The sequence below is a fragment of the Homo sapiens genome, chromosome 8 (genome assembly GCF_000001405.40).
Source record: "Homo sapiens chromosome 8, GRCh38.p14 Primary Assembly".
Taxonomy (NCBI): Eukaryota; Metazoa; Chordata; class Mammalia; order Primates; family Hominidae; genus Homo; species Homo sapiens.
The window spans coordinates 89900696-89928036 of NC_000008.11; the positions used below are offsets into that span (position 1 = coordinate 89900696).

Below are 27341 nucleotides of genomic sequence, written 5' to 3' on the forward strand. Positions count from 1 at the left end.
GGTTACATAGTAGGTGTATATATTTAAAAATACGGAACGCTTCACGAATTTGCGTGTTATCCTTGGGAAGGGGCCATGCTAATCTTTATATTATTCTAATTTTAGTATATGTGCTGCAGAATTAAGCACTGCTTTTAGGAATGTAGGTACTTTATTTATTTATTTTTGAGACGGAGTCTCGCTCTGTCGCCCAGGCTGGAGTGCAGTGGCGCGATCTTAGCTCACTGCAAGCTCCGCCTCCCGGGTTCACGCCATTCACCATGGTCTCGATCTCCTGACCTCGTGATCTGCCCGTCTCGGCCTCCCAAAGTGCTGGGATAACAAGCGTGAGCCACCGCGCCCGGCCAGGTACTTTATTATTATTTTTTGATACGGAGTCTCACTCTTTGGCCCAGGCTGAGTGCAGTGGCGCGATCTCAGCTCACTGCAACCTCCGCCTCCCGGTTTCAAGCGATTCTCCTGCATCAGGCTCTTGAGTAGCTGGGATTACAGGCGCGTGCCACCACGCCCGGGGCTAGGTTTTGTATTTTTAGTAGAAACGGGTTTCACCATGTTGGTCAGGCTGGTCTGGAACTTCTGACCTCAGGTGATCCGTCCGCCTCGGCCTTCCAAAAGGAATTTAGGTACTTTAAAATGCTGTTATGTATGTTAACGGAAAAGTAACTACATGCTTCATTTTCAGAACCAACATTCAAATGAAATGAACGTGTCAAATCGACAAAAGCTCAAAAAAGAGAAAAACATATAATACTTAAAAGTGGTTAATATACTCTTAGATTGCATAACTCTGGGGCAGTCTGAGTCCTATGATTTTCTTTTAAGACCCCAAGACTCTAAAATACCTGCTCATCACAAGTTTGTTCAGTGACAACATTCAGTAAAACTTAACATTTGTTTTACAAAATTATGTTGAAAGATATAAACATAAACGTATATTTGAAGCACAAAAATAATTACGGCTTTTTTTGGAAGCGGAGTTAGACATTTCCGTAGAAAAGTAGATGCAATCAATCTCTCCTGATTTTTGTCCTCCCCACCTTTAATTTTTGACAAACCGAATAACGACACTCACTATTGAGTACTTTTCTAACTCCCTATTGCATCACAAACGCCCGCAGGGGCTTAAAAAGCAGCAGGGGTTCCTGCCCTTCCCCACACTGGCCGGTGTGGTCTGGGGCGGGCCTGATGAGCACCTGGATTTTCACCCGGCGTGCTGGTAATTCCTACACTTGTGGGTGTTTGAGAGACATGAAGAGGGGAGGATGACCTCTTCCCGGAAGCGGGACTTCCATAAAAGAAGCGTGGTGGGCGGGTCCCGGGCACCTGTGGTTTGGTGAGTCCTCCAGGTAACTGTGATGCGGGGGTCAGCGGGAGAGGCACCCGGAAGCTCCCGGCGTCTGCACCCCGGCAGCGCGAGGAAATGCCCAAAGGTGGGTTCTCAGGCGTGGGAAGCTCGACCCTTCCCGGGGTCCTCGGCGAAGTGGCCGAGGCCGCGCCTTACGCAGGGAACTCCGCCGGGCCATCTGGGTGGCCCGAGTTCGCAGCAGCTTCTCTTCCGCTCGTCCCTCGGCCCTCTCGACGCGCACCCACCGGCCTCACCAAGTCGCACGCAGAGGGGCGGCGGGGCGCTGACCGAGGTCTAGGTCTCGATTGCCGCCGGTCGAGCCGCGCAGTTTGCCTGCAGACCTCGGTCCCCTGCCCGCGCAGCCTCGGCTCCATCAGGCCCGGCCCCTCGCCCGGGCCGTGGCTCCACCAATCGCAGACTTCGCCCGCCGCAGCCGCACCTGCGAGGAGGGGCCCGCGCGCCGCTGCAGCCGCCGTCGCAGCGTCCCCGCCCCGCTCCGCCCCTATCGCGGCGCCCCGAGATCACCCGCCTCCGGCGCCTGGCTCCCTGCAGGCGAGGAGCGGAAGCCGCTATCTGGAGGCGGACTCCGGCGCCACAGAGCCGGGGCAGCCGCGGCAACGGCGAGGCGCGAGGCAGGGGCGCCCGGCAGACCCCGCGACCCCGAGCCAGCGGGCGCCCCGAGCGGGCAGCCTCGCCGGGGGAGGCGGAGGCGGCCACGGCGGCCGCGCTCGGGCGCCCCTCGCGCAGCGCTCCATGCCCGTGTGGTGCTGCCGCTGCTCCCTGGCCGGTCATTTCAGGTGACTTCCTCGCCGGGGATGGGAGGGGAGCAGGCGGGGATGCCGCGCTCTCGAGCTTTTTGGCCTGGCCCGGGCCGGGACCGGGGTGGAGGGCGAGCGCCTGGACCGCAGCGTCCTCCCGCCTCGGCCGTCCTGCCTGGCGTGGGGGTGGGGTGGGGTGCGGTGTGGTGGGGTCCTTGCTCCGGGGAGCCCTGCGCTGTTCCCTTTTCTCGCTCTGGACCGCGCGGGTCACGGGACTGCGGGATCGGCTAGGCCGGACTGAGTCGGTTACGGCGAGCTGAGACTTCCCAGTAGTGCAAAGTTTTAGTGAAGGGGGTTCTACGAAGTGCCTGCCTCCCTAAAAAAAAATTATTTCTTAAAAAGTCTTCTAAATAATGTAATGAGTGGAAGGAAGGTAGGGAACTACATTTCAGTGTCATCTAATCACAAATAGATTCTGCCTTGTTAAGATGTTAGCCATGGTAAGACGTGTGTGTTGTAGAAATTTAAAGAATGAGGCGGTTTTACAATCACCTTATGGGGAAAGGTTTTAGGGGTGATAAAATATAATACATTTCTAAAATAAAAGTATGTTTTCTAGATCTAGCACATTTGGTCAACACCTCAGTCATTGGTGGAAAGACCAGACACTAGAAACTGATTTTAACCCTGGGGTGAAGAATGGTTAAGCATAGGGAATACTTTAGTACCTTGCTTTACATATACTGATGTTCCAGAATAATTCTATGTAAGACTTCTTCCCTGGTAAAATATGAAATTTTGATCAAGCCTTCCTAAATAGTGGGTTTCATACAATTTAGGTAACCCATGAACTTGGATGGAAAGAAAGGTATATCATTTCACTAAATTTTAAAAACTAATATTCAGTTAAAATATAAGCAACAAATCACAGTAGTATCTGTGACTGTCATCAGTAGAGATCATAAAATATGTTTATATCACATTGCAGTTAATATAGAAATACTGTTTATACTTATTCAAAATTATAGTAACACATCACTGAATTTATTGAATGCAACAGAGAAGCACATATATATATCGCGTTTACTTTTTATGACTGTTTTAATAGAATTAGTTTTCTTGTAAATCCTGTGTATATTTAAGAACAGTATTCAGAGAAGAGGTTAAGAAGCGTCATCCTATAGTAAAAGAGATGTAAGGCATAGAGAAAGTTTGGAACTTCTTTTGTAACAGCGATAATCCAAGCTTGTCTAACCTCTCAGTGAGTTTAGAATGAGTCTCTAGGTTGTGGATATTAAGGAAAAATTGTTTCATATAATAAACTGCTTGATTTTAACTTTTAGGCAAATTTGTTGACTACTGAGACAGCGGTTTGAAGGTATCAGATTCACTATGGAAACTTTTAGGAAATAGGTTCCCCTAGTGAAACTTGTTAAACTAAATAAAGCCCATGAGAATCTAACATGCCTTTCAGAAAATATTGTGTGAAAGCTATTTGACACCTTTTGATGCACAGTGTAGGATTCATATTCTTTTGACTAATACTGGGTGTTGAATACCATTTGCTTCCTGCCGTGCACAGAAATTTGGAGTAGGGAGTGAAAACAAAGTATTTGCTATGTTTTGGTCTGGAGGGACAGAAAGAAAAACAAGCTAGCTGCCAAAGATAAACATTATGATTAATAAACCACACTTTTTATTGCAAAAACAGTTCTGTTGTGTCTAAAGTATTTTTTTTTTTAGTTGTTTACCAGCTCCTTCAGGAATATGTTTCTGATTTACCAGTGCTATTTCTCGAGCAGTTTCAGGTCAGTTCAGGTCATCCTGGCCAACATGGTGAAACCCCGTCTCTACTAAAAACTCAAAAATTAGCCGGGCAGGGTGGTGTGCACCTGTAATCCCAGCTACTCGGGAGGTTGAGGCAGGAGAATAGCTTGAACCCAGGAGACACGTTGCAGTGACCTGAGATCGCACCACTGCATTCCAGCTGGGCGACAGAGTGAGACTGTCTCAAAAAAACAAAAAACACACAAAAAAACACAGATTATAAAACAGGTTGTGACATCTATTGTCTAACATCTGAATGGATAAGTAGTGAGAGAACTGTCCACTAACTTTCCAAAGGAAAAAACCTCTTCCTTCGTGTTCTGGAAGATGAAGAGTGTGACTGACTTCATTTGTGGCTTTAGAACCTTCTTTCCATGTGGTAGTATAAATTTGGTAAATTTTAGGTTCATGGTTCCAAAGACTATAAAAATTCAGTTAGTAAAGCATTTCATTTTAGTTTGAATGATCATTTAAACAAGTACTGCTATGGTATGGAAAAAGTCTTTTTGTTATCCTGATACTATGTCCACACTATCCTTTGAAATGTTCTCTGAAACTTTGTGCTGTAATGTTTCAAAAACAAAAAATGGAAGGCCTCTAAAAGCATCTTAAATGTCAAATAGGCTTTTAACTTGCTTCCTAACAATAGAGTAACTAATTTTGCATGTAAAGTGCTGTTCTTTACTAGTTGCTAAATGTAATTGTACATATTTTCCAATTTTAATTTGTGCCTCGAAGAAAAAGTAGATTTTTATTACTCAAAATAAGCTCTTGTTTTAAATAGAACAAATATCAAATTGGAAATCTAGAGATTAACACTGTTCATAGACCTGTGATATACTGTGCATGTACTATAAAACATGTACAGCAATACTAAATTTATAACTTAAGCTCTGAATTTTTTAGAAAGAATAATTACTAAAAGTCTTGTTTCATTAATGTTTTATGTAAAACCAGTGAATCACACTTTCCGTTTTTGTTTCCTTGTTTTTCTTTGTGTTAAACCACTATCAAATAGGAGGCAGGTTTACTACAAATAGTTTATCACAGAGTTTATACCAGTGGCTCCTGAAAAATCAGAGCAGATTACCTATACTATGTAAATTTAGATAAGCTAATGTGTAGAGAATTTGGATAAACTAAACTTTGGTTCTTCATTGCTTGAGGGCTGCACATGCAAAAAACTACTAGACCTAATATATAAATTCAACGGTGTTGCAGGATGCAAAATCAACATACAAAAGTGAATTGTATTTCTGTACATTAACACTGAATAATTTAAAATGAAATTAACAAAGGTATTTCATTTATATAATAGCATCAAAAAATGAAATACATAAGAATAAATTTAATAAATGCAATACTTATGCACTGAAAACTACAAAATGTTGAGAGAAATTAAAGGTCTAAATAAATGGAAAGGAATTCTATATTCATGGATTGAAAAACTTAATATTCTGTTTTTTCTTTTAAGTACAGGGATGCAAGTTCAGGTTTCTTACATAGGTAAACATGTGTCATGGGAGTTTGTTTCATCACGCAGGTATTAAGCCTAGTACCCATTAGTTCAGGGGTGTCCACTCTTTTTGCTTCCCTGGACCACATTGGAAGAATTGTCTTGGGCCACACATAAAATACACTCACATTGATGATAGCTGATGAGCTTAAAAAAATGGCAAGAAAATCTCATAATGTTTTAAGAAAGTCTACGAATTTGTGTTGAGCCACATTCAAAGCCATCCTGGGCCGCATGTGGGTTGAACAAACTTGCATTAGTTGTTTTTCTTGATCCTCTCCCTCCTCCCACCCTTCATCCTCGGGTGGGCCCCAGTGTGTGTTGTTCCCCTCTGTGTGTCCATGTGTTCTCCTCATTTAGCTCCCCCTTATAAGTGACAACATGTGGTCTTTGGTTTTCTGTTCCTGTGTTAGTTTGCTAAGGATAAGGGCCTCCAGCTCCATCTATGTCCCTGCAAAGGACCTGATCTCATTCTTTTTTGTGGCTGTATAGTATTCTATGGTGCATATGTACCATGTTTTCTTTATCCAGTCTATCATTGATGGGTGTTTAGGTTGATTCCATGCCTTTGCCATTGTGAATAGTGCTGCAGTGAATGTACACGTGCATTTGTCTGTATAATAGAATTATTTTTATTCCTTTGGGTATATACCCAGTAATGGGATTGCTGGGTGGAATGGTATTTCTATCTTTAGGTCTTTGAGGAATCACCACACTATTCCACAATGGCTGAACTAATACACTCCCCCCAACATATAAGCATTCCCTTTTCTCCATAACCTTGTCAGCATTTGTTATTTTTTGACTTTTTAATAGCCATTTTGACTGGTGTTAGATGGTGCCTCATTGTGGTTTTGATTTGCGTTTCTCTAATGAGTGATGTTGAACTTTTTTTCATATGATTGTTGGCTGCCTGTATGTCTTCTTTTGAGAAGTGTCTGTTCATGTCCTTTGCCCACTTTTCTGTGGGGTTGTTTTTTCTTGTAAATTTAAGTTCCTCATAGATGCTGGATATTAGACCTTTGTTGGATGCATAGTTTGCAAAAATTTTCTCCCATTCTGTTGGTTGTCTGTTTACTCTGTTGATAGTTTCTTTTGCTGTGCAGAAGCTCGTTAGTTTAATTAGATACCATTTGTCAATTTTTTTTTGCTTTTGTTGCAATTGCCTTTGGCGTCTTCCTCATCAAACTCTGCTTGTGCCTGTGTCCTGAATGGTATTGCCTAGGTTGTCTTCCAGGGTTTATATAGTTTGGGGTTTTATATTTGAGTCTTTAATCCATCTAGAGTTACTTTTTGTATGTGGTATAAGGAAGGTATCCAGTTTAGATCTTCTGCATATGGCTAACTAGTTATCCCAGCACTATTTATTGAATAGGGAATCCTTTCCCCATTGCTTATTTTTGTCAGGTTTGTCAAAGATCAGATAGTTGCAGGTGTGTGGTCTTATTTGTGGGTTTTCTCTTCCATTGGTCTATGTGTCTGTTTTTGTACCAGTACCATGCTGTTTTGGTTACTGTAGCCCTGTAGAATAGTCTGAAGTCAGGTGAGGTGATGCTTCCCGCTTTGTTCTTTTCACTTAGGATTGCCTTGGCTATTTAGGCTCTTTTTTGGTTTCATATGAATTTTAAAATAGTTTTTTCTAGTTCTTTGAAGAATGTCATCGGGAGTTTAATGGGAATAGCATTGTATCTATAAATTGCTTTGGGCAGTTTGTATGAATTTGCATAGCCATTTTAATGATACTGATTCTTCCTACACATGAATATGGAATGTTTTCCCATTCCCGTCGCCTCTGATTTCATTGAGCAGTGGTTTGTGTGTGTCATCTCTGATTTCTTTGAGCAGTGGTTTGGAGGTTTCTGATCAAAATGACTTTGATCAGAAGCCTCCAAAGGTACAGGAGAACCTAACCTTTGCACATACTTTGGAGAAATACCAGGGACAGAGCAGAATATAAAACATGTTAAATGCAGTTGCCAAGAGGTAGAAGCGGGCATGGGCAAGACAGCTGAGGCATCTGGATCTGATCAGAGGCAGTAGTTGGAATGAGTCAGAAATAGATGGATTGAGCATATAAAACTTCCTCCCAAGGGTAGGCTTGCACTGTGAGGAGGGGTTTCCCTTAGTAGCCATGTCTGATTGGTGTCTGTTTTGGTCAAAAGAGGCTATGTAAGGGGAAACCAAATATTTGGGGTACAGGTTACTTTCTTTGCTTCAAGAAAGCTCTCAGTATGTCCTGAGGAAGTCTCGCCTATCCTAGGGTAGACTGGGAACTCTGAAGGTTATAGGGAAGTAGAAATGCCTGTCTCTGCCTGATTCTTTTCTGTTTATCAACCTCCTCTGGGATCAGTGAGTTCAATCTTGTGAAATAACTGATCTATCCCATGCTTATTTATCATCTGAGAGTAGTAATAAACACACTTACCCACTAGTAGATACTTAATTTAATACTTCCAGACATTGTGGCTGTTACTGACTGTATGAAGATAAAATTAATTAAGGGATTCTATTCTAAAGTAATCTGTTGTATAATGCAGAACATTACCTGTGTGCAGGAGATACTCCATGTATTGCATGAAAATGTGAGAATGCTAAAACTAATTTCTAGAGAGCCAATTGAGAAAGAAAAATTGGAAAATAACATTAAGAAATTATTTTAATATATTTTTGAAGTCTGGGTAACATAGCGAGATCCTATCTCTACCAAAAAATATTTTTTAAATTAGCCAAGTGTGGTGGCACACCTGTAGCCCTGGCTACTCTGGAGGCTGAAGCAAGAGGATGACATGAGCCCGGGAGGTGGAGGCTGCAGTGAGCCATGCTTGCGCCATTATACTCCAGCCTGGGTGACAGAGCAAGACCTTGTTTCCAAAAAAAAAAAAAAAAAAAAAAAAAAATATATATATATACATATATATATATATAATGTATATGTAGTATATTTTTTGAATAAAAATGTATAAACCTAATTTCTTATACAAAAATGCACAATTTATAATATATAAATACCGTAACTTTTTCTTAAAATGTGTATGACTATATATTGTATTTTAGTGCACTCACCTTTTAAAAAGAAAGGTATGGAGGAGACACTAGCCATTTCTAGGCTAGTTTCAGAGAATTATGAACTCCTCAACACCATGCTGTCTTTGATCATGAGAGAACTGCTTATTAGAGACTTGCCTAGAAGATACTTGTGAGAGAAAAGCAACTATTAATATTGGGGATATTTGGCCTTCAAGTTGGTATAGGTTGACATGTAGCGAAGCTACTAATTTGAAAGCATTAATCAGAAGGATTTTCTTTGCTTCTTTTATGGAATGATTAAAATATTTTATGTCTAAATAAACTCGGAGTAGAGATTGATTTTTATAAAGGCTATATTGACTATATCTCTTTTTATTCCCCCTTTTTTTTTTTTAAAGAAACTATAGTGACACTGAAACTGAAGGAGAGATTTTTAATTCCTTAGTGCAATACTTTGGTGACAACTTGGGGCGAAAAGTTAAAGCGATGCCATTAGTTGAAGAAACTTCTTTACTGGAAGATTCGTCAGTGACTTTTCCTGTGGTAATAATAGGTAAGTTATTGTATTTTATCTTTTAAAATTATAGTTAATGACCCTTAATACTTTTATAAATCTACAGTTAGTACAAGTTCTTAAGATTTTATTGAAAAGTATTCTTAGGTGGTTTGATATGCTAAAAAACTAATAACCAAATCTTTGGAGAGTAATTGGTTTATCTGATTTTAGCATCTGTGTTAAAATGCAGTATCTTTTTAGTGAAGAACTGATATTACTACATTATTTTAAAATATCTCCTACATTTGTGTTAATTATATGACAGTGTCATGGTAATGTGATAATATTATTAGAGCTCTGAAGAGTATTCTATGTATATTATTGGATAATACCTTACAACTCTGCAGACTTCTGATGTTGGTAGGGCGGATACAGACAGAGAAACTGACACAGATGTTGAGTAACGTGCAAGTTAGTAACCGGTGCTGTATTAGCAATGACATTATAGTACTCTAAGGTAATGTTTACAGTTACCTTAACCACAACACTACTATTTTATATCCTTTGTATCACCTCAGCAGATAGGCATTTAAGATATTAAAAATTAAACTATTAATAAAACATTCAGATTTATAAGCTTTTATAATTTAGTTTTATTGCATGCATTTAATTACCTGTTATGTATATTTTTCATCTAATATACAAAGTCGAGGAATTCAGACAAGGAATATAGTGTGAAGCTAACTAAGCCAGAGGAGAGAGTTAAGGAATATAGGTGCCTTGGTAGCATATGACTTCCTTTGTTTCTTTGACAGCTTGTTTCAAAGTTAGTAGGAAGGGGAGAAAATTCATGTCCTCTGGCTTGTGGGAGGAAAAGAGGAGAGCAAGATTGTTCTATACTAGGTTCTATACTAGATTCTCCTCTACAGGATATGATAGAGGTGACAGTTTTTGTAATAGTTCTCAACCAAGAGATATCAGGGACCATACGTCATGTTTCATTTTCCCCCTTACCTCTAACCTTGGTTTTCTATCCTGAATGAATGGAGGAATCCTGTCTTCTTGTGTGGCTAGGCTGTGGGAAGGTCAGAAAAGAAAAACTTAACCTTCATTTGCACCTGCCCACTCCACTTCCCACAAAGCAGCCTATCCCTGTTTTGCCTCAGCTAGCTGTGAGTAGCTTAGCCTCATGTATATTTATATAGTGTCATTACTGTTGACAATGGCACCACCAGCCTGAGCATAAAGAGCTAATTTCTTAAATATATGTTTTCTGTTGCCGCTGTAACAAATTACCACAAAACTAGTGGCTTTAAACAATGTGAATGTATTATTCTACTGTTCTGTGGGTCAGAAATTCAACATGGGTCTTCCTGGGCCAAAATCAAGGTGTTGGCAGGGCTGTGTTGCTTTCTGGAGGCTCTAGGGAAGAATGTTTCCTTTTCCTGGCTCCCTTCTGTAGCTTCAAAATCAGCAATGTTGTTTCTTAACCTTCTTTCATTGTCATGTCTCCCTTTCACCACAACTGGGAAAAGTTCTCTATTTTTAAGGACTCTTGTGATTAGATTGGGTCTACCTGGGTAATCTAGACTACTCTCCATCTCAGGATCCTTAATCATATCTACAGAGTCCTTTTGCTCTGTAGTAACATTTACAGGTTCTAGGGGATAGGACTGGGACATCTCTGGGCACAGTGGATCACGCCTGTTATCCCAGAACTTTGGGAGGCTGAGGTGGGCTGGATCATCTGAGCACAGGAGTTCGAGACCAGCCTGGCCAACATGGTGAAACCCCGTCTCTACTAAAAATACAAAAATTAGCCGGGCATGGTGGCGGGCAACTGTAATCCTAGCTACTTGGGAGGCTGAGGCAGGAGGATCGCCTGAACCCAGGAGGTGGAGGTTGCAGTGAGCCGCGATTGCGCCATTGTACTCCAGCTTGGGCGACAAGTGAAACTCTGTCTAAAAAAAAAAAAAAAAAGAAAAGAGGGCCAGGCCTGGTAGCTCACACCTGTAATCCCAGCACTTTGAGAGGCTGAGGCGGGCATATAACAAGGTCAGGAGATCGAGACCATCCTGGCTAACAGGGTGAAACCTTGTCTCTACTAAAAATACAAAAAATTAGCCAGGCATGGTGGCGAGTGCCTGTAGTCAGTCCCAGCTTCTCGGGAGGCTGAGGCAGGAGAATGGTGTGAACCCGTGAGGCAGAGGTTGCAATGAGCCGAGATCGCACCACTGTACTCCAGCTTGGGCGACAGAGCGAGACTCCGTCTCAAAAAAAAAAAAGATATAAAATTAGTTCTAAATATTTTTTATTTTTCTTTCAGTCTTTAAGGCTTCCTATTCTAGAATTATAAGTTGAAATCTTTCTCTGCTTTCTCTGTTTCTAGTATTCTTATGGTTTTACTTTTCTTATATCTTTGAGTATATTTTATTTGGGGTAACATATTAGGTAAGGAACAGGATTTTTTCTTTGCAGCTAGCAATTCTCTAGGTTGGATTAAATTTTTGAAAGGCAGATATAATAAGTGGTAATCCAGAATAAAGGAATTATTAATTCATAAATGGAAGTAGTTCAGGAAATCCAGTTTGGTTTTAGTTAAAGCATATAAACATATAGGAAAGCAATATCAGGATTTAGGACTGGAAAGATGGTTGAGATGTATAATCACCTGGCAGTTTCTTGCCTGCTGCACAGACAAAACCATTTCACTGAGACCATGGCGTTGCAGTAAAGAAGTTGACACAAGGCCAGCCCATGTGAGAGAACTGCAGTTGTTCAAATTAGTCTCCTGATAAAACTCCTGATTGGTTGGGCGTGATGGCTCATACTTGTAATCCCAGCACTTGGGGAGGCTGTGGTGGGTGGATCAAGAGATCAAGACTGTCCTGGCCAACACGCTGAAACCCCGTCTCTACTAAAAATACAAAAATAAGCTGGGTGTGGTGTCGTGTACCTCTAGTCCTAGCTACTTGGGAGGCTGAGGCAGGAGAATCGCTTGAACCCAGGAGGCAGAGGTTGCAGTGAGCCGAGATCATGCCACTGCACTCCAGCCTGGTGACACAGCGAGACTCTGTCTGAAAAAAAAAAACACAACGAAAAAAACAAAACTCCTGATCCCTCCTGATGGCTTGGAGGTTAGGGTTTTTCAAGGATAGTTGGGTGAACAGGGGACTAGGGAATAGGTGCTGCTGATTGGTTGGGGATGCCATGCTGGGGGTATCAAAAATGGTTCTCTAGCACTGAGTCCAACTCTGGGTGGGGGGCCGCAGGACTGGTTCAGTTGAGTCTTGGGTCTGAGTCTTGAATCTTGGGACCAATAGAGTCAGACAGTCATCAGAAATGCAAAAGTCTGAAAAGACATTTCAAAAGGCCAACCTCAGGATCCACAGTAGCGATGTTATCTGTAAGAGCAATTAGGGAAGTCACACATCATGTGACCTCTGGCTGCGTGACTCTTCAGCAGTAAAGGATTATAGAAACTCTGCCTACATCTTAGCAGAATTCCGGCACCTCTCATAATCCGAACCTTGTGGCCTTTCATTAGTTTTAGAAAGGCGGTTTAATTTTGGGAAGGACTGTTACCATCCTTGCTTTAAGGTTAAACTATAAATTCCTTCCATGATTAGCTTTGCCTATACCCAGGAGTGAGGGAAGACAGCCGGCCTTTGAAGCTAGAAGCAAGATGGAGTCAGCCATGTTAGATTTCTCTCACTGTCATAATCTTTGCAAAAGTTGTTTCAAATGGAGAACACTGGATAGTCAGAAACAAACAATGAAGACCTTTAGAACAGAAGGCTAACATGATGAGGATTATGTTACCAAAACTTATGTGAATGTAGTATGTGAAATGATTGGGAGTGGGTGAATCTCAGGGCAGAGAAACAGTAGGAGACTTGTCTTTTAGGTGAAGTACAGGAATGAGAATAGCAAAGACAACTGACAAGATATAGGGGGCAAACTAGGTTTAGAACCAGAAACTGATTAACTTAGAAGTTTGCTAGTACCATACTTTGAGATAGGATAGGGTTTGAAGGAGAGGGCACCTCAATGAAGGGACTCATGAGCTTGCTTTTGAGCACATTACATTAAAGTTATTAGTGGGCCATTCTATCAGGTAGAATCAAGAAGTGGAATGGAAATGTGGGATATATCCTTGGGAAATAGGTCAATTTAGAGAACTAATTTTGGATGTCAGTAGCCTAGAGAGTTGAAGCCTTGAGTAGATGAGATTCCCAAAAGAAAATAGGAGAGAAGGCAGAGGTTAAAATCTCATGAAACATCTGGTTTTAAGAGATTAGAAAAGGAAGAACTGGTCAGAGAAAAGAGCCATCTTCAAAGTAGGACAAAAGCCAAGGAACAAGAGTATTAAGATGCATGACCTACCCCTTTCCACCTTTTATTTTTAATAGGAAATGGACCCTCAGGAATATGCCTTTCTTATATGTTATCAGGCTACAGACCGTATTTATCATCAGAAGCAATACACCCAAATACAATCTTAAATAGTAAATTAGAAGAAGCAAGACATCTTTCCATTGTTGATCAGGTATTATTTCTTACATGTCAATTTAAAAAATTTTTTTATGCTGAAACAAGATTAGTTTTTATTTATATGAACTTTCTTAGTTGAAACCCCTTATTCTAAATAACACCTTATATCATTTTTATTTTAGATTCGTAAATGTATTCTGAGTTACTTCTGTTTATTTTCTTGAATTTATTAGAGCAGAGTTTTCTGAATTATTTTCTAATGGAGATTTAGTAGGTGCTCTGTGGTCAAGTTGGGGGTACTGCTTTTTATCATTGGAGCATCATGGTAAGCATTAGAATATACTATCTGGGAAATGCTGGCTTTTTTCAAACTCTGTCTCCCTTTTGTTCATTCAGGACTTAGAATACTTGTCTGAGGGCCTTGAGGGCCGATCATCCAATCCAGTTGCAGTACTTTTCGATACACTTCTTCATCCAGATGCTGACTTTGGGTATGATTATCCATCCGTTTTGCATTGGAAATTAGAGCAACATCATTATATCCCTCACGTAGTTCTTGGTAAAGGTCCACCTGGTGGGGCTTGGCATGTGAGTATATTTTTCTTAGCATTTTAGTGTATGTGAATTATTTGTCTTGATAAGACCAACTTTATTCTTAAGCATTATGATAATGTTATATGTGATGTTTATCACATTTTTATTTGAGAAGAACTTTAATGCTGTTCAGTTAGTTAAATATGGGTTTATTACAAGTAGCAGTAAATCAAGCCAAATTTTATTACTGGTACAGTCTTAGAATAAGCATGTCTCTATACTATCTTACAAGAATTATGTAGAAAACATTTCAAGAATGTTTTGTATAATAAAAATTTAAAACTCAATTCATTTTAGACTTTACATAATCTCACATAGTATTTCAAAGCAGTATCCATTATTTTCTTACATTTTCAGAATCTTAAATGAAAAATGTAAAAGAGGTTGTGTTAGTCTGCTTGTCTGCGATAACAAAATGCCATAGAATTGATGGCTTAAACAACATATTTATTTCTCACAGTTCTGGAGGCTGGAAGTCCCAAGATGAAGGTTCCAGCCAGTTCAGTTCCTGGTAAAGGCCCTCTTCCTAGCTTTCAGATAGCTGCCTTCTCAATGTGTCCTCACATAGCAGAGAGAGAGAAATATTCTCTTCTTATGAAGCCAGTAATCCCATTCTGAGGGACCTACCCTCATGACCTCATCTAGCTCTACTTACCTCCCAAAGGCCCCATCTCCAAAAGCATCACATTGGGGGTCAGGACCTCAACGTAAGAATTTTGAGGGTAGATACAATTCGGTTCATAGCAGAGGTTAAACCAGAGAACCAGTGAATTAAGGATTCACTCAGTGCATTTCATTAGGGGGCCAGTAAGTAATAATTGTTCATCCTTCCTGTGTTCTTAGCAGTTAACACTGTGTCTAGTGTGTAGTGAGTGTTCATTTGTTATACAAATTGATGTTAAGTAATTTAGTTTGCTGTGTTATGAATTACAGACTTCATGGGAACTTTAACATATTACATACCAAATTTTTAGTACAAACTTCGGTTGGCTGTTCGTGTATTAGTGCAGTTTTGCACATCTGAAAAGTTGTTTACGTTTATAAAATGACTGTTTCAGGGTATCGGGACATTCCTAGATTAAATACGTCATGGGTTTCTTTTAAAATCTTTATTCTCTTTTTAATAATGAGTAGCAACTACCAAATTATTTGTTGCTTTTAGCTTAAGTTTTATGATTTTTACTTTTTCATATCAACTTTAAGCTTTATTTACAATAAGCTGCATCCATTTAGAGTGTATAATTTGACAAATGCCTGTAACTGTGAAACCACCAATACAAGATAAGAAAGAATTCTATCATGCCCAAAACTTAAGTGTTTATATTTTCTCTGTTAATTAGTAGCATTCTTAATTTTAAAAAAAGCCATAATGTATTTGGAAGTGGGGAGGGCATTTAGACTGCCTTCTCTGAATTCCTGAGGTTTTATTTTACTTACATTTTTTCCGCTTAGAAGAATGATGAGTTGTGCAGGCGATAATTGATCTGTTTCATTTCTTTCACTTATGTATAAAAAAGTTAGAAAGTATGGATAAACCCTGATTACTAAAAACACATTTTGAGCCAGTGATAAAGGTTAAAATATACCTAAAAGTTGCTGATTTTTTTCAGGCATGTATTCACTAAAATAGGGCTGTAAGTAATATTTCAGCTGTGTACCAGTTGCCAGTCATCACCTCTGTGAAGGTTCCTAATGTTCCCAGACATAATTACTTGATCCTACCTGCATTCCATATCTTAATCTTACTGTGCTTGCCTGTGGTACTATTTATCTGTTTATGCGACCATCTCCCCTGCTATGGTTTATGTACATCCTAATTAACCTGAGTTGTGACTTAAGACGTAAACTCCTTGAGTCATCACCCCTCTCTCCTACTTAGCTTCATATAGTTCTCTGTTTCTCTTGTGATCTAGTTTCTCATCACTCTTCTCTCTTCCAAACTTTCTGTGGCCCCTTGAACCAATTTTGTGATAAACAACTTGTTTGCTTTCCCACATCTTTAACCATTCTGTCAGATGCTGCTTCTGCTCCCTTTCTTGAAAGCTTACTCTTTCCTAAAGATACCATTCCCACTGTAGCCCTCTGAAGTGGAGCCTATTCATTCTCCCATAGCCCTATGTCCCATCAGGTTGGCTAGTAAGGTTGGTCTTCTCTTCACACCCCTATGCACTTGTGTAAAAAGCCCTGTTCCATTGAACAGATGATGCCATTTTCTAGCTTTTCTACCATTCCAGACTGTCTCCAGACTGTCTCCATTTCTGGCTTTTTTACCATTCCAGACTGTCTCCAGTTACTGAATCTGTGGCACCTAATTCATGGGTCTTCCATTATATCCCAAGTTTTGTTACCACCTTGAATAATTTTACCTCTACAAACATGACACAGAACCAAGATCTTAACCTTTTTGTTCCTTGGTCTCCTCATTCTTGATGATGATGTATTCTTCATTAGCTACTCACTCCAGTGGCTCCACTGTAGATCTTATCTGTCATAACTACTCAACTTGTAAAAACCTAAATTCTCAAATGTCTTCCTTTCTGATCACAGTTTCCTGTTCTTCAAGCTTATCACCCAGTTAATTCACACTATAGATAATCTTTGAACACAGAGCGTGCTCCAGGCTGTGATCTTCATATCCTTACTTACCCAGCCCAGCTTCTGTAGTCCATGGAGTTAACTATTCTCTTTAATTCCCTTAACCCATTGTCCTTCTGTCACATAGGTTTGTCATACAGGCAATTCATCTAACTATCCACTTTATCTTTTCTTACACTTGAGCAGTCAGACCCCCAGAAAAAAAATTATACAACTGTGAAAATATTCTCCACTCTCAGTTGGGGCCAAAACACTACTATAACCTTTGATATTTCCTTATTAACTTCTTTTCAAACCTTTATCTCTTTTTTTTCTTTCATGCTTAGAAGTGGTCTTGGTTCTTATTTTACAGATAAAATGTAATCCATTAGGATTGAACTTCCACAATTTCACACTCAAACCGAAAACTTACACATTGATGCAAATTCTTTTTTTTTAATCCCCTGTTATAATGGAAGAGATATTACTACTAAGGCTCACCTTCCAGCCACATTCTGGATCCCTGTCTTCCCAAGAACATTATTTATTTGATTTTCCCCATTTCTTTTATATCTTCAATTTCTCTGCCAGCTTCTATTGGTCGGTATGTAAACATGCTGAAATTATTTCCATCTTTAAAAAAATTTTAGGTGCCAGCTGATCTTTATCCTTTGGTTTATAGCTAACTTCCTGAAAGAGTTACCTATACATACTTCTCCCTGCCTTTGCTTTCTGCTCCTTAGCTTACTCACTCTACCTTCTGCCACCGGTTTTCCATTGGAACTGTTTTTTCTGAAAGTCGGTAACTTTCTTTTTTGCTTAATTTGATGACGAGTCTCAGAATTTATCTTTTCTGATCTCTGCAGCTTTTGACAGTGTTCATATCTTTCTTAGGTTCTCTGAATCTTCAGTCTCCTTGTTTTTCTTCCTGTTTGGTCACTCCTTTTCTGATACCTTTGTGGATTCTTGTCTTTTTTGTTGTTGTTGTTTTTGAGAGAGGGTCTCACTCTGTCATGCAGGGTGGAGTGCAGTGGTACAGTCATAGCTCACTGCAGCCTCGGACCCCTGAGCTCAAATGATCCTCCTGCCTTAGCCTCCCAGTGCTGGGATTGCAGGTGTGTGCCACCACACCCAGCTGACTCTTGTTCTTTAAAAATTGCTTCTGTAGACCTTATCCCAAGCCCAGGTCTTTTCTTCATACTCTTCATTCTCCCTGGGTTATCTTACCTACTTCAATGGCTTGCATATTGATATTAATTGATTCCCAAATCAGAATTCCCAAAATCAAAACCAGCCCAGATTGCTGTTTCTCATATACCCAAGTAAATACATTCCCTTGATTATTCTGCAGGTGTCCTCAGACTCAACGTACCTAAAACTAACTATCTTTATCATCAAGTCCCTTCAATTTCCTTGTCATTAAATGGCATTCTCATGTAGTTACTCAAGCCAGGAACCTGAGAGTCTTCCTTGATTTCTCTTTCTTCAACTCCCATTTCAAATTAATCACCAAATCTTTTTCATTTATGATATTTTGGGTCCATCTACTCTATTTTGTTGCTAATATTGGTCACCGCTGTCTTTCACCAGAATTACTGCAAACCCTTTCTAAATGGTTTTCTTACTCATTGTCTCTTCTCCAATCCATTATCCATACCAAAGCCAGACTCATCTTTCTAAATTACATGTCTGAGATGTTACACCAATGCATAAAACTCTTCAGTTGCTCTCCATCTAACATATAGTATGTAGACTTCGTAATGTATCTCACCATACTCCAATCTAGCCCTTATTAGGTTTCTTGTCATATTCCTCTTTTTATCTCTGACATTCTGTGCTCTAGCATGCTTTTGTTGGGGAGTCCAAGTTCATTCTCAGTCTCGAAGATTCAATAGGATTCACAGGACTCAGTAAAGATGGTGTACTTGTGGTTAAATTTTACTATAGTGAAAGGATACAGATTAGAATCAGCAATGGGAAAAGGTTCACAGGGCAAAGTCCAGGAGAAACCAAGTGTAAGCTTCTAGATATCCACTCCTAGTAAAGTCACTGGTGCGTGGTGTCGAGGGATGTTTTCTGTGGGGTCAGTCATATAGGCCAGCAGCTCCCATGTGACTCACCTCTGCCTCCCAGAGCAAAAACTGGTATTCACATAAATCACATTGTTAGGATAAACTCTCATGGTTACACTGGTATAGCATTGCCAAGGCCTTAGGCATGCAAAACTCATGCTCATCAGGTAGAGTATTCAGGGGCTCAGAAGTTATTTCTAAGAAGGTGGCAGCCAAGCCTGGTTCTGAAGACAGGCTTTTGTTGGTAATGTAAAAGGTTGGAACAACGCAGGCCTGCTGAGTTAATCCTTTCAGGCACAAGGCTGAATTTCTTTTGACTCCTTGAAGGACACTCATATTTGCTCTCTTTATTAAGCTGCCACATGGATTTTTATTTGGCTTGGAATATTTTCCCTTTCTAATGGTACACTCCTCTGCCCATTTGTGTCCTTGAAGAACCAGATACTTTCTATATGCTCCTGCATACTTCTATTTAGTTTGCATCCTTTAATACTACAGTGTCCATGGCAGCTTGTATTCATGGCATATAGGTTACATGGGGAAAAAAGAAAGATAGGAGAAAAATGAAGAGATCAAGGCATTAGGGCTCTCAACCAACTGGAAGAACTGGTGCAGTGGGAATAATGTTAAAAAATTGTTGTCAGAAAGTGAAATAGTAGTGTCTTAAGGTTTTAGAGTTACAGGTGAAACTCTCAGGTTCCAAATAATCTCTGATAGATAATACATTCTTAACAGCTCCTTTTATGATGATTCCAGGTTCTGAACCTGGTATCAGGGCTAGCCTCCCTCAAAGCAGGTGGCAGCTTGCTACATTCTCTTTCTTGGGTGATTTGTATATAGTCACAAATGAGGTTTCACAGGGCCTAGTACATAGTAAGTACTCTGTGAAAGTCAGTTATAATAATAATAATAATATGCCCCATTTTCAAACTGGGTGTTATAGAAGCAGGGCAAGAAATTATGAGAAAAGGAGCCACTGCCTAAAAGAGTTGATTGAAAGAGATCATAGAGGTCATAGGTATAACAGGTACTTGGCCTTTGGGCTTTTCTTGCTTTGTATTGAACAAAGCAGAAATAAGTAGGTCAAGGGAGCTTGATGGCAAGCAGTAGCCTCAGCTCGTTTGTTTCTCAGGCATCCACTGCCTATTTCTGTATCCTTAAGAAGAGATGCTGCTGTATCCACATCAGCCTAGATTTTAGAATTATAATTGATGGAGGAGGGAAAAGCTTCTTTGTTGCTAATTAAAAGAAAGTTAATAATATTAAAATGGAAAGCCATCTAAAATTTTGGAACTTAATGAACATTTTTCCTTTTGTTCAAAAAATGAATATACTGAATTTTTGTTTCCCTGACATAATATTGTACATCTGAATTATGTTGATCATAGACCAAAGTTATCAACATTGTGTAGGCATTGGATAATATTGTAAATTTGTTTTATAAATTTATAACTATATGAAAGAAGGTTGTCGGGATAATATCAAGTGATGAAGGTATATGAAAGTTTATTGGAGTAATGTTTTTGAGGTAAGTTAGCCAACCATTTAGGACTGCAGGAGCGCACCTTGTCCAGAGTCATAATTATTGTAAATGAGATGGATATGGTTAAAAAACAGACCAAAAAAAACCATGTTACTTCTTGTTTTTTGACGGTACATTTTTTTTTTTAAACTCTAATAGAATATGGAAGGCTCCATGTTGACAATCAGCTTTGGAAGTTGGATGGAACTACCTGGACTTAAATTTAAGGACTGGGTATCAAGTAAACGAAGGTAAAGATTGAACTGTATTAAAATTCTTTGGTGTACGTTGAAAAAGAGAATGTGGAAAAATTTCAAAATATTTGTGATTTTGTCATGGCTGAAGAATATAAATGTACGTCTTTCAAATAAAAATGTGTCCTTGAAGCAGTGATTATAATATGCTAGTTTTCATTTAGAGATGTTATAAAACTAAGCACAGAGCTAAGGGATTATTGCAGATTGGTTTCCTGTGACTTTTGTTAATCATGGGTTTATCTACTGTCTTGTTACATCACTCTCTGTTTAGTTACTTTCTCATCCATCCATATATTATTTTTCATACTTTATTTTTATGCATTGATATATAACTTTATCTATGCATATCTCTTATATGAATACCTAAACTCTGCATACCTAAAGTGTTTGACTTTCAGTATAAAGATTGTATATTTTATGATTGATAATTTAAAATGATGGATAAGCTAGAATCTGGCTTATGGTTGGCTAATTGGGTATGAAGGAACATATTTAATAAAAAAAAATAAGAGTAGAACTGAGGGCCTGGCGCAGTGGCTCACGCCTGTAATCCCAGCATTTTGGGAAGCTGAGGTGGGAGGATCACCTGAGGTCAGGCGTTTGAGGCCAGCTTGACCAACATGGTGAAACCCTGTTTACTAAAAACACAAAATTAGCCAGGCATGGTGGCGCATGCCTGTAATCCCAGCTACTCGGGAGGCTAAGGCAGGAGAATTGCTTGAACCCGGGAGGCAGAGGTTGCAGTGAGCCGAAATCGCGCCACTGGACTCCAGCCTGGGCAACAGAGCAAGACTCTGTCTCAAAAAAAAAAGGACGGAAGAAATCTCACCTTGGAAAACTATAAATTTATTTATTTTAAGGGGAAATCCCAAAATTTAAAAAGAGAAATATGAAAATCCTGTCAATCATTTTCAAGGATAGTAAATATTAGATAAGAATTACTAATACAGAGAATCTACTCTAATTTGACTACTCACAAAATAAGAAGTTACGTAACCTTTGTTAGAACAGGGATGTAACATTTGAGTACTTCACTTCCTGCTACATAACAACCATGTTAATTCATAGAAATTTTCCTTAATATGAGGAAATTCAGGGAGAGCAAATTTACATCATCATGGGTAATTGAGATTAAACCTTTCCAAAAATTCATTTTAGATTTTTAAAAAGAATTATATATGGGTTTGAAACTTGAAGTAAAATTAGGCAAGTTGTACAGTTCTTGATCTTCGTAACTTGGCAAGTGAAATTGCTTAACACATTCTTCACTTTGTAAAAGGGTAAGAAAGAGAAAGCTTTATGATTTATGTACCAGAAGCATTTACTTTTCTAAATTATGCATATTGTGTTGAAGTAATATGTGCAAATGAATTTTGTGATAAATTTAGGTTTAGTTGCTGCCTTTGTATAAAGAGAAGACTCTTAGGTCTCTAGAGATTGGTGGAGTTTGAGTTCCGACTTATGACTTCTAGTGTTGTGATCCTGAACAAATAAACTAGTTGTCAATTTTCCATTCTGTAAAATGGAGATGATAATACAGCCGTGTATTGCTTAATGATGGTGATATGTTCTGAGAATTGTGTCGTTAGGTGATTTCGTTGGGCAAACATCATAAAGTGTACTTAACACAAACCTCCGTGGTATAGCCTACTATACCCTTAGGCTATAGGGTATAGCCTGTTGCTCCTAGGCTACAACCCAGTACAGCATGTTGCTGTACTGAATACTATAGGCAGTTGTAACACAATTGTAAGTATTTTTGTATCTAAATATACAAAAAGTACAGTAAAAATACGATATAAAAGATTTAAAATGGTATACCTGTGGGAGGTACCATACCAAAAATGGTATACCTGTATAAGGGCGCTTACCATGAATGGAGCTTGGAGGGCTGGAAGCTGCTTTGGATGAGTCAGTGAGTGGTGAGTGAATGTGAAGGCCTAGCACATTACTGTACACTAAGGTACACTTTATAAACACTGCACACTTAGGGTACACTGAATTTCTTTTTAAAAAAGTAATTTTACCACAACTTTAAGATGGCTGTGATGTCACTAAGCTGTAGGAATTTTTCAGCTCCTTTATAATCCTTTATGGGACCATTGTTGTATATGCTATCCTTTGTTGATTGAATTATGTGACACATGACTGAAGAAGTAAAAATCTAAAGTTAATTCTAAATCTTAATAATAATTATTAAACTTCAAAAGAAAAATTTTTGTGAACTTCCCATTACAAGTTACAAACAGTCCCTGATTAATCATGGTTTCACTTAAGGTTTTTAGGTTTTAAGGTGGTACCAAAGTGATGTGCATTTCATACAAACTATACTTTGGGTACCAATGCAACTGTTCTGTTTTTCACTTTCAGTATAGAATTCAATAAGTCACATGAGGTATTCAACACTTTATTATAAAATAGGCATTTTGTTAGATGATTTTGCCCAACTGTAGGCTAGTGTAAGTGCTCTGAGCACATTTAAGGCAAGCTAGGCTAAGCTTTGATGTTCAGTAAGCTAGTTGTTATTAAATGCATTTTTGACTTAAAATATTTTCAACTTACAATTGGTCTATCAGGACAAACCCTACTGTAAATTGAAGAGCATCCACATCATGAATTATGTCAAATAATTTGCTTCTTATCTCTGATTGGGGCAGGGGATTTTGCTTGTTGCTTTGAACTTTGGAAAATGACATACAGACTAATGCAAGTTTTTCATAACAGTTATGTTTTAGCTCTGCTTGTGAGTAGGAAAACACATAGAGTGAAATGTCATCTGTTACTTAACCTAGATGTAAGATGACTTTGTTTAGCAAAAGACAGATCTGAATTATTTTCAGCTGTTAGGAAAATAGCAGTGTACTAAAATTCATGTCAAGATGGCATGTATAATTTTAAGAAGCATAGATATTAGTTAGGCCTGTAATATCTCAATGATTGCCATGAAAATAATTCAGTTGATAGTTATAGATTATAATTGTGAGATAAAGTAGTCCAATTTTCAAATATCCACATTTTAATACCTTCATTTAATGAAAGTTTATCAAGCAGTGTATTTGAGCAGACACTATGCATGGCACTGGGGAAACAGAAGTGCATTAAATATAGTCTCTGCTCTCATGGGACTTCTTCCAATTTTTTGCTAAAAAGTAACTCATGAAGATTTTTAACTAAAAATAGTTTTTTTTTTAAGTGTTAGGATAATGTATAGCTAAGACAGTCCAGCAGAATTAAAAAGCTATAAAAGCTTACTAGGTAGATAAGTAATAATCATGGAAACTGAAAGTAGTATCCTTATAGGATATTTTTCCTTTTCCTTTTTTAGGAGCCTAAAAGGGGATCGAGTTATGCCAGAGGAAATAGCTCGCTACTATAAACATTATGTAAAAGTCATGGGTCTTCAGAAGAATTTCAGAGAGAATACTTACATAACTTCCGTATCAAGACTCTACAGAGATCAAGATGATGATGATATTCAAGACAGAGATATTTCAACAAAGCATTTACAGATAGAGAAGTCAAACTTTATCAAGAGAAACTGGGAAATTAGGGGTTATCAGCGAATAGCTGATGGTTCTCATGTTCCCTTCTGCCTCTTTGCTGAGAATGTAGCGCTGGCAACTGGAACGCTGGATTCTCCTGCCCATCTGGAAATTGAAGGGGAAGATTTTCCTTTTGTGTTTCATTCAATGCCTGAATTTGGAGCTGCTATAAACAAAGGAAAGTTGCGTGGCAAAGTGGATCCAGTGTTAATTGTAGGTTCTGGGCTTACTGCCGCTGACGCAGTACTGTGTGCTTACAACAGTAATATCCCTGTGATTCATGTGTTTCGCAGACGAGTAACTGATCCAAGCTTAATTTTCAAACAGCTTCCCAAAAAGCTGTATCCTGAATATCATAAAGTCTATCATATGATGTGTACTCAGTCATATTCTGTAGACTCAAATCTTTTATCTGATTATACCAGCTTTCCCGAGCACCGTGTGCTTTCCTTTAAGTCGGACATGAAATGTGTTCTCCAAAGCGTTTCTGGATTGAAGAAAATATTTAAGCTGTCTGCAGCAGTAGTATTGATAGGTTCTCATCCTAATCTGTCTTTTCTGAAGGATCAAGGGTGTTACCTAGGCCATAAGTCAAGCCAGCCAATCACATGTAAGGGTAATCCTGTGGAAATAGATACATATACCTATGAGTGTATTAAAGAAGCCAACCTTTTTGCATTGGGTCCTTTGGTTGGAGACAATTTTGTTCGATTTTTAAAGGGAGGGGCGCTGGGTGTTACACGCTGTTTAGCTACAAGACAGAAGAAAAAGCATTTGTTTGTTGAAAGAGGAGGAGGAGATGGGATAGCTTAAAGCAAGTTTACAAGTAATTAAAATGGACAGTTTGCCATTAAAGATTTTTAATAGTGGTTTTGCAGTGTACTGGCTTGAATTTTCTGGACTTGAGTTAACTGAAGGAGAGCCTCAAACTATAGTAACTTCATTTTTAAAAGTTACTAGAATTTGGTATCCTGATTTATATTGCAGTGTTTCAAAGGTGTCACTGTCAGACAAATAGAAACACTGCCAACTTGGTGTAACTTAAGCTTTCATTTAACTAAAACATTCTTTTCTTGCAAAACTTATTTTTCATGATCATTTTTGGTTATTTATTATACTTGATTCCAAAATAGTACAGCCTTGAATCTATAAAACTGTGCAGTCATTATGCCAGAAATTATCTTAAATATATAATGGGTCACCTTGCTGTTCAAAGGGTGGTGCAAGGTCCTGCAGCATCTTACATCTGTAGCTTGTTAGAAATGTAAACTCTCAGGCCCCACAACTTACTTCCTGCATTTTAACAAGATCCCCAAGGGATATGTATGCTCATAAAAATTTGAGACACTGGTTTAAATGAAAATGGATATAAGGTATGTATAACTGGGGGTGGGGTGAGGGTAGGAGGCATTTACAACTCAGATTTTATTTATTTTGAAATTATCAATTGTATAAATCTAATTTATTACCAAATAGGGTCTTTTAAAAAATATTTTTATCGTTGAAACCTTGACAGGTACTTCATATTCTTCTAATAATTTAAACAGTCCAATAATGTGGTATACACTTTGACATCCAAGAACTCACCAAGATGTTTTTCAGAGATTTATTCTCGATTTAACTATCATAGCATTTAATGAATCTGATTTGTAGTTCAATAAATTGTGGGTTGAACTACTTATCCCTGTGTGAACATTGAATTACTTTCTGTCACTGAAACTGAGGTATTTGGGTGTGGTAAGTACTTCGAAAATTGTAATACTGTTTGGGCATTGTCTAAATTATTAAAGGTTAAAATAGAAAATAAAGTCAGAATTTTTCTTTTCCATTCCAAAGGTGTACTTAGAGATCTCTATTAGTATTCATTCGAGATGACATAGCAGCTCATATCATGGTTGTTTATTGGATTTATCTGTTCTAATTATATAAGTGTGTTTACTGTCTGTGTTTTCACACAAACTGCTAGAATTTTTAATGTTAAGACGAAAACATCTGAAGTTCTCCATGGCAAATTGAATTTTTCAGTCATTTTCTTTTCTTTTTTTGGTACAATTACTTCATCTGGAATGTCTTCATTGAACTCGTTATTCTATTTTTCTTAGAATTAAAAGTGGATTAATGTGGGTTTTTCTGTTCATTTTATTGCAGTATTAAATGCTTAAGCTTATTAGGACCATAATTCACTTTAAATATAATTGTATAGAATATATTTGCGTCGATCAAATAATTGCTTCAGATGAATTCTTAGACTCTTGATAATATCACACCTAATTTAACTTGATTTTACAAGCTGTACAATCCAGTTTTAGTTTTCTATTGTGATAATAACTTTTTTCAAACCAGTTTCACATCTTAATGAAATAACATTCTCTGACTGCACTTGCTTCAGTACTCTCTTGCCTGCCTGTTTTTGACCTCTGCATGAGTTGGATTAGATGTTTTTCTTACTGTCACTTCTAAATAGAAAATGACAGTGTTATAAAAAAGGGAAGGATAAAACCTTTGACATCCCCTTGTGTCTCAAAAGTCCACAGTTATTCAAACAATGGCTTTTTTTGTGATGAGAGTATTTGTTAAAAAAAAAAAAAGACTTCAAGAAAAATAAAAGTTCAGTGGAGCTGCAAATAAATCTGGTGAATAATTTCATCTTTGGTAATCTCCCATTTCCTGAGTTCTTCCTCAATCCAAGCTGTCCTGTGTAGTATATAACATTTGGGCATTTTCTCTGATATACTATACTCTCATGTTCTATAAATTTCTGTCCCGTAATTCTAACACTTTACATTTTTTCTTTGCTATCAGCTATAGCTATTCATGGAAGGGAAGAATCACTAAATACTTGTCTAGTTATAGCATGATGTGAGCATCTCCTCCTTATCCCTCGATGCCTGGCTTGGTGTCTGGCAAACAGTCCATAATTAGCAGATGTTGAAAGACCGTTTACAAAGCAGAATTTGGGGATTTAAAGTGCAATGATACAACAAAAAGATTTAATTACAGCTTCCAGTGTTTTGACTATGTGAACCATATCCAACTACTTTTTTGAAAATCTAGTTCTATGTAATATATTTCTGTGGCATCAAATTTTAGTTGATTGTATTAGTCAATAGGAAGTGGTGGAAAATTTCTAAATAAATTCAACTATTAAATAAATGCAAGTTCCACTAAATCTTAGTGTTTGGAACACTGAAGAACCCAGAATGAAACAAAATTAGACTGAATGTAAATGTCATTTAAAAATCTAACTGGGGGCTGGGGACAGTGGCTCACGTCTGTAATCCCAAAACTTCAGGAGGCCGAGGCAGGTGGATCACCTG

General features: G+C 38.5%; 1 protein-coding gene, 1 long non-coding RNA gene and 1 pseudogene across 5 annotated transcripts in view, besides 7 other annotated features; 1 reads left to right on the plus strand and 2 right to left on the minus strand.

The window, feature by feature from the left end:
• Positions 1-519: part of an enhancer, noted in NCBI's record as "NANOG-H3K27ac-H3K4me1 hESC enhancer chr8:90912677-90913442 (GRCh37/hg19 assembly coordinates)", that runs on past the window's edge. NCBI's record gives its function as "activates a minimal SCP1, AML or CMV promoter by ChIP-STARR-seq in primed H9 embryonic stem cells {active_cell/tissue: H9 hESC(primed)}" and the evidence as "EXISTENCE:reporter gene assay evidence [ECO:0000049][PMID:30033119]".
• Positions 1-1711, minus strand: part of LOC124901974 (uncharacterized) — a 16353-nt gene extending 14642 nt beyond the window's left edge. Inside the window, exon 1 of the long non-coding RNA XR_007061001.1 lies at positions 1324-1711. This is a non-coding gene — a long non-coding RNA (uncharacterized LOC124901974). The remainder of the gene's footprint in view (positions 1-1323) is intronic.
• RNU6-925P (RNA, U6 small nuclear 925, pseudogene) lies at positions 26-129 on the minus strand (annotated as a pseudogene).
• Positions 520-1285: an enhancer, noted in NCBI's record as "OCT4-NANOG-H3K27ac-H3K4me1 hESC enhancer chr8:90913443-90914208 (GRCh37/hg19 assembly coordinates)". NCBI's record gives its function as "activates a minimal SCP1, AML or CMV promoter by ChIP-STARR-seq in primed H9 embryonic stem cells {active_cell/tissue: H9 hESC(primed)}" and the evidence as "EXISTENCE:reporter gene assay evidence [ECO:0000049][PMID:30033119]".
• Positions 1173-27193, plus strand: OSGIN2 (oxidative stress induced growth inhibitor family member 2). 4 transcript variants are annotated; one of them, NM_004337.2, is made up of 6 exons: positions 1173-1430; positions 8872-9026; positions 13382-13518; positions 13860-14051; positions 20385-20476; positions 23808-27173. In NM_004337.2, the coding sequence occupies exons 2-6, from the start codon at positions 8960-8962 to the stop codon at positions 24835-24837; spliced, it is 1518 nt and encodes a 505-aa protein (NP_004328.1). In that variant the 5' UTR covers positions 1173-1430; positions 8872-8959; the 3' UTR covers positions 24838-27173. The 4 variants fall into 4 exon arrangements, with proteins under 4 accessions (NP_004328.1, NP_001119583.1, XP_011515589.1 ...); NM_001126111.3 differs by lacking the exon at positions 1173-1430 and adding an exon at positions 1875-2142 and having other exon boundaries at positions 23808-27193; XM_011517287.4 differs by lacking the exon at positions 1173-1430 and adding an exon at positions 2514-2536 and having other exon boundaries at positions 23808-27193.
• Positions 1579-1877: a silencer, noted in NCBI's record as "fragment chr8:90914502-90914800 (GRCh37/hg19 assembly coordinates)". NCBI's record gives its function as "represses an EF-1alpha promoter that drives an FKBP-Casp9 reporter gene in an ReSE screen in HepG2 liver carcinoma cells {active_cell/tissue: HepG2}" and the evidence as "EXISTENCE:reporter gene assay evidence [ECO:0000049][PMID:32094911]".
• Positions 1579-1966: a biological region, named in NCBI's record as "ReSE screen-validated silencer GRCh37_chr8:90914502-90914800".
• Positions 1627-1966: a silencer, noted in NCBI's record as "silent region_19346". NCBI's record gives its function as "represses an Ori minimal core promoter by ATAC-STARR-seq in GM12878 lymphoblastoid cells {active_cell/tissue: GM12878}" and the evidence as "EXISTENCE:reporter gene assay evidence [ECO:0000049][PMID:35858748]".
• Positions 1997-2446: a silencer, noted in NCBI's record as "silent region_19347". NCBI's record gives its function as "represses an Ori minimal core promoter by ATAC-STARR-seq in GM12878 lymphoblastoid cells {active_cell/tissue: GM12878}" and the evidence as "EXISTENCE:reporter gene assay evidence [ECO:0000049][PMID:35858748]".
• Positions 3440-3499: a silencer, noted in NCBI's record as "silent region_19348". NCBI's record gives its function as "represses an Ori minimal core promoter by ATAC-STARR-seq in GM12878 lymphoblastoid cells {active_cell/tissue: GM12878}" and the evidence as "EXISTENCE:reporter gene assay evidence [ECO:0000049][PMID:35858748]".
• Positions 27194-27341: the final 148 nt, after the last annotated feature.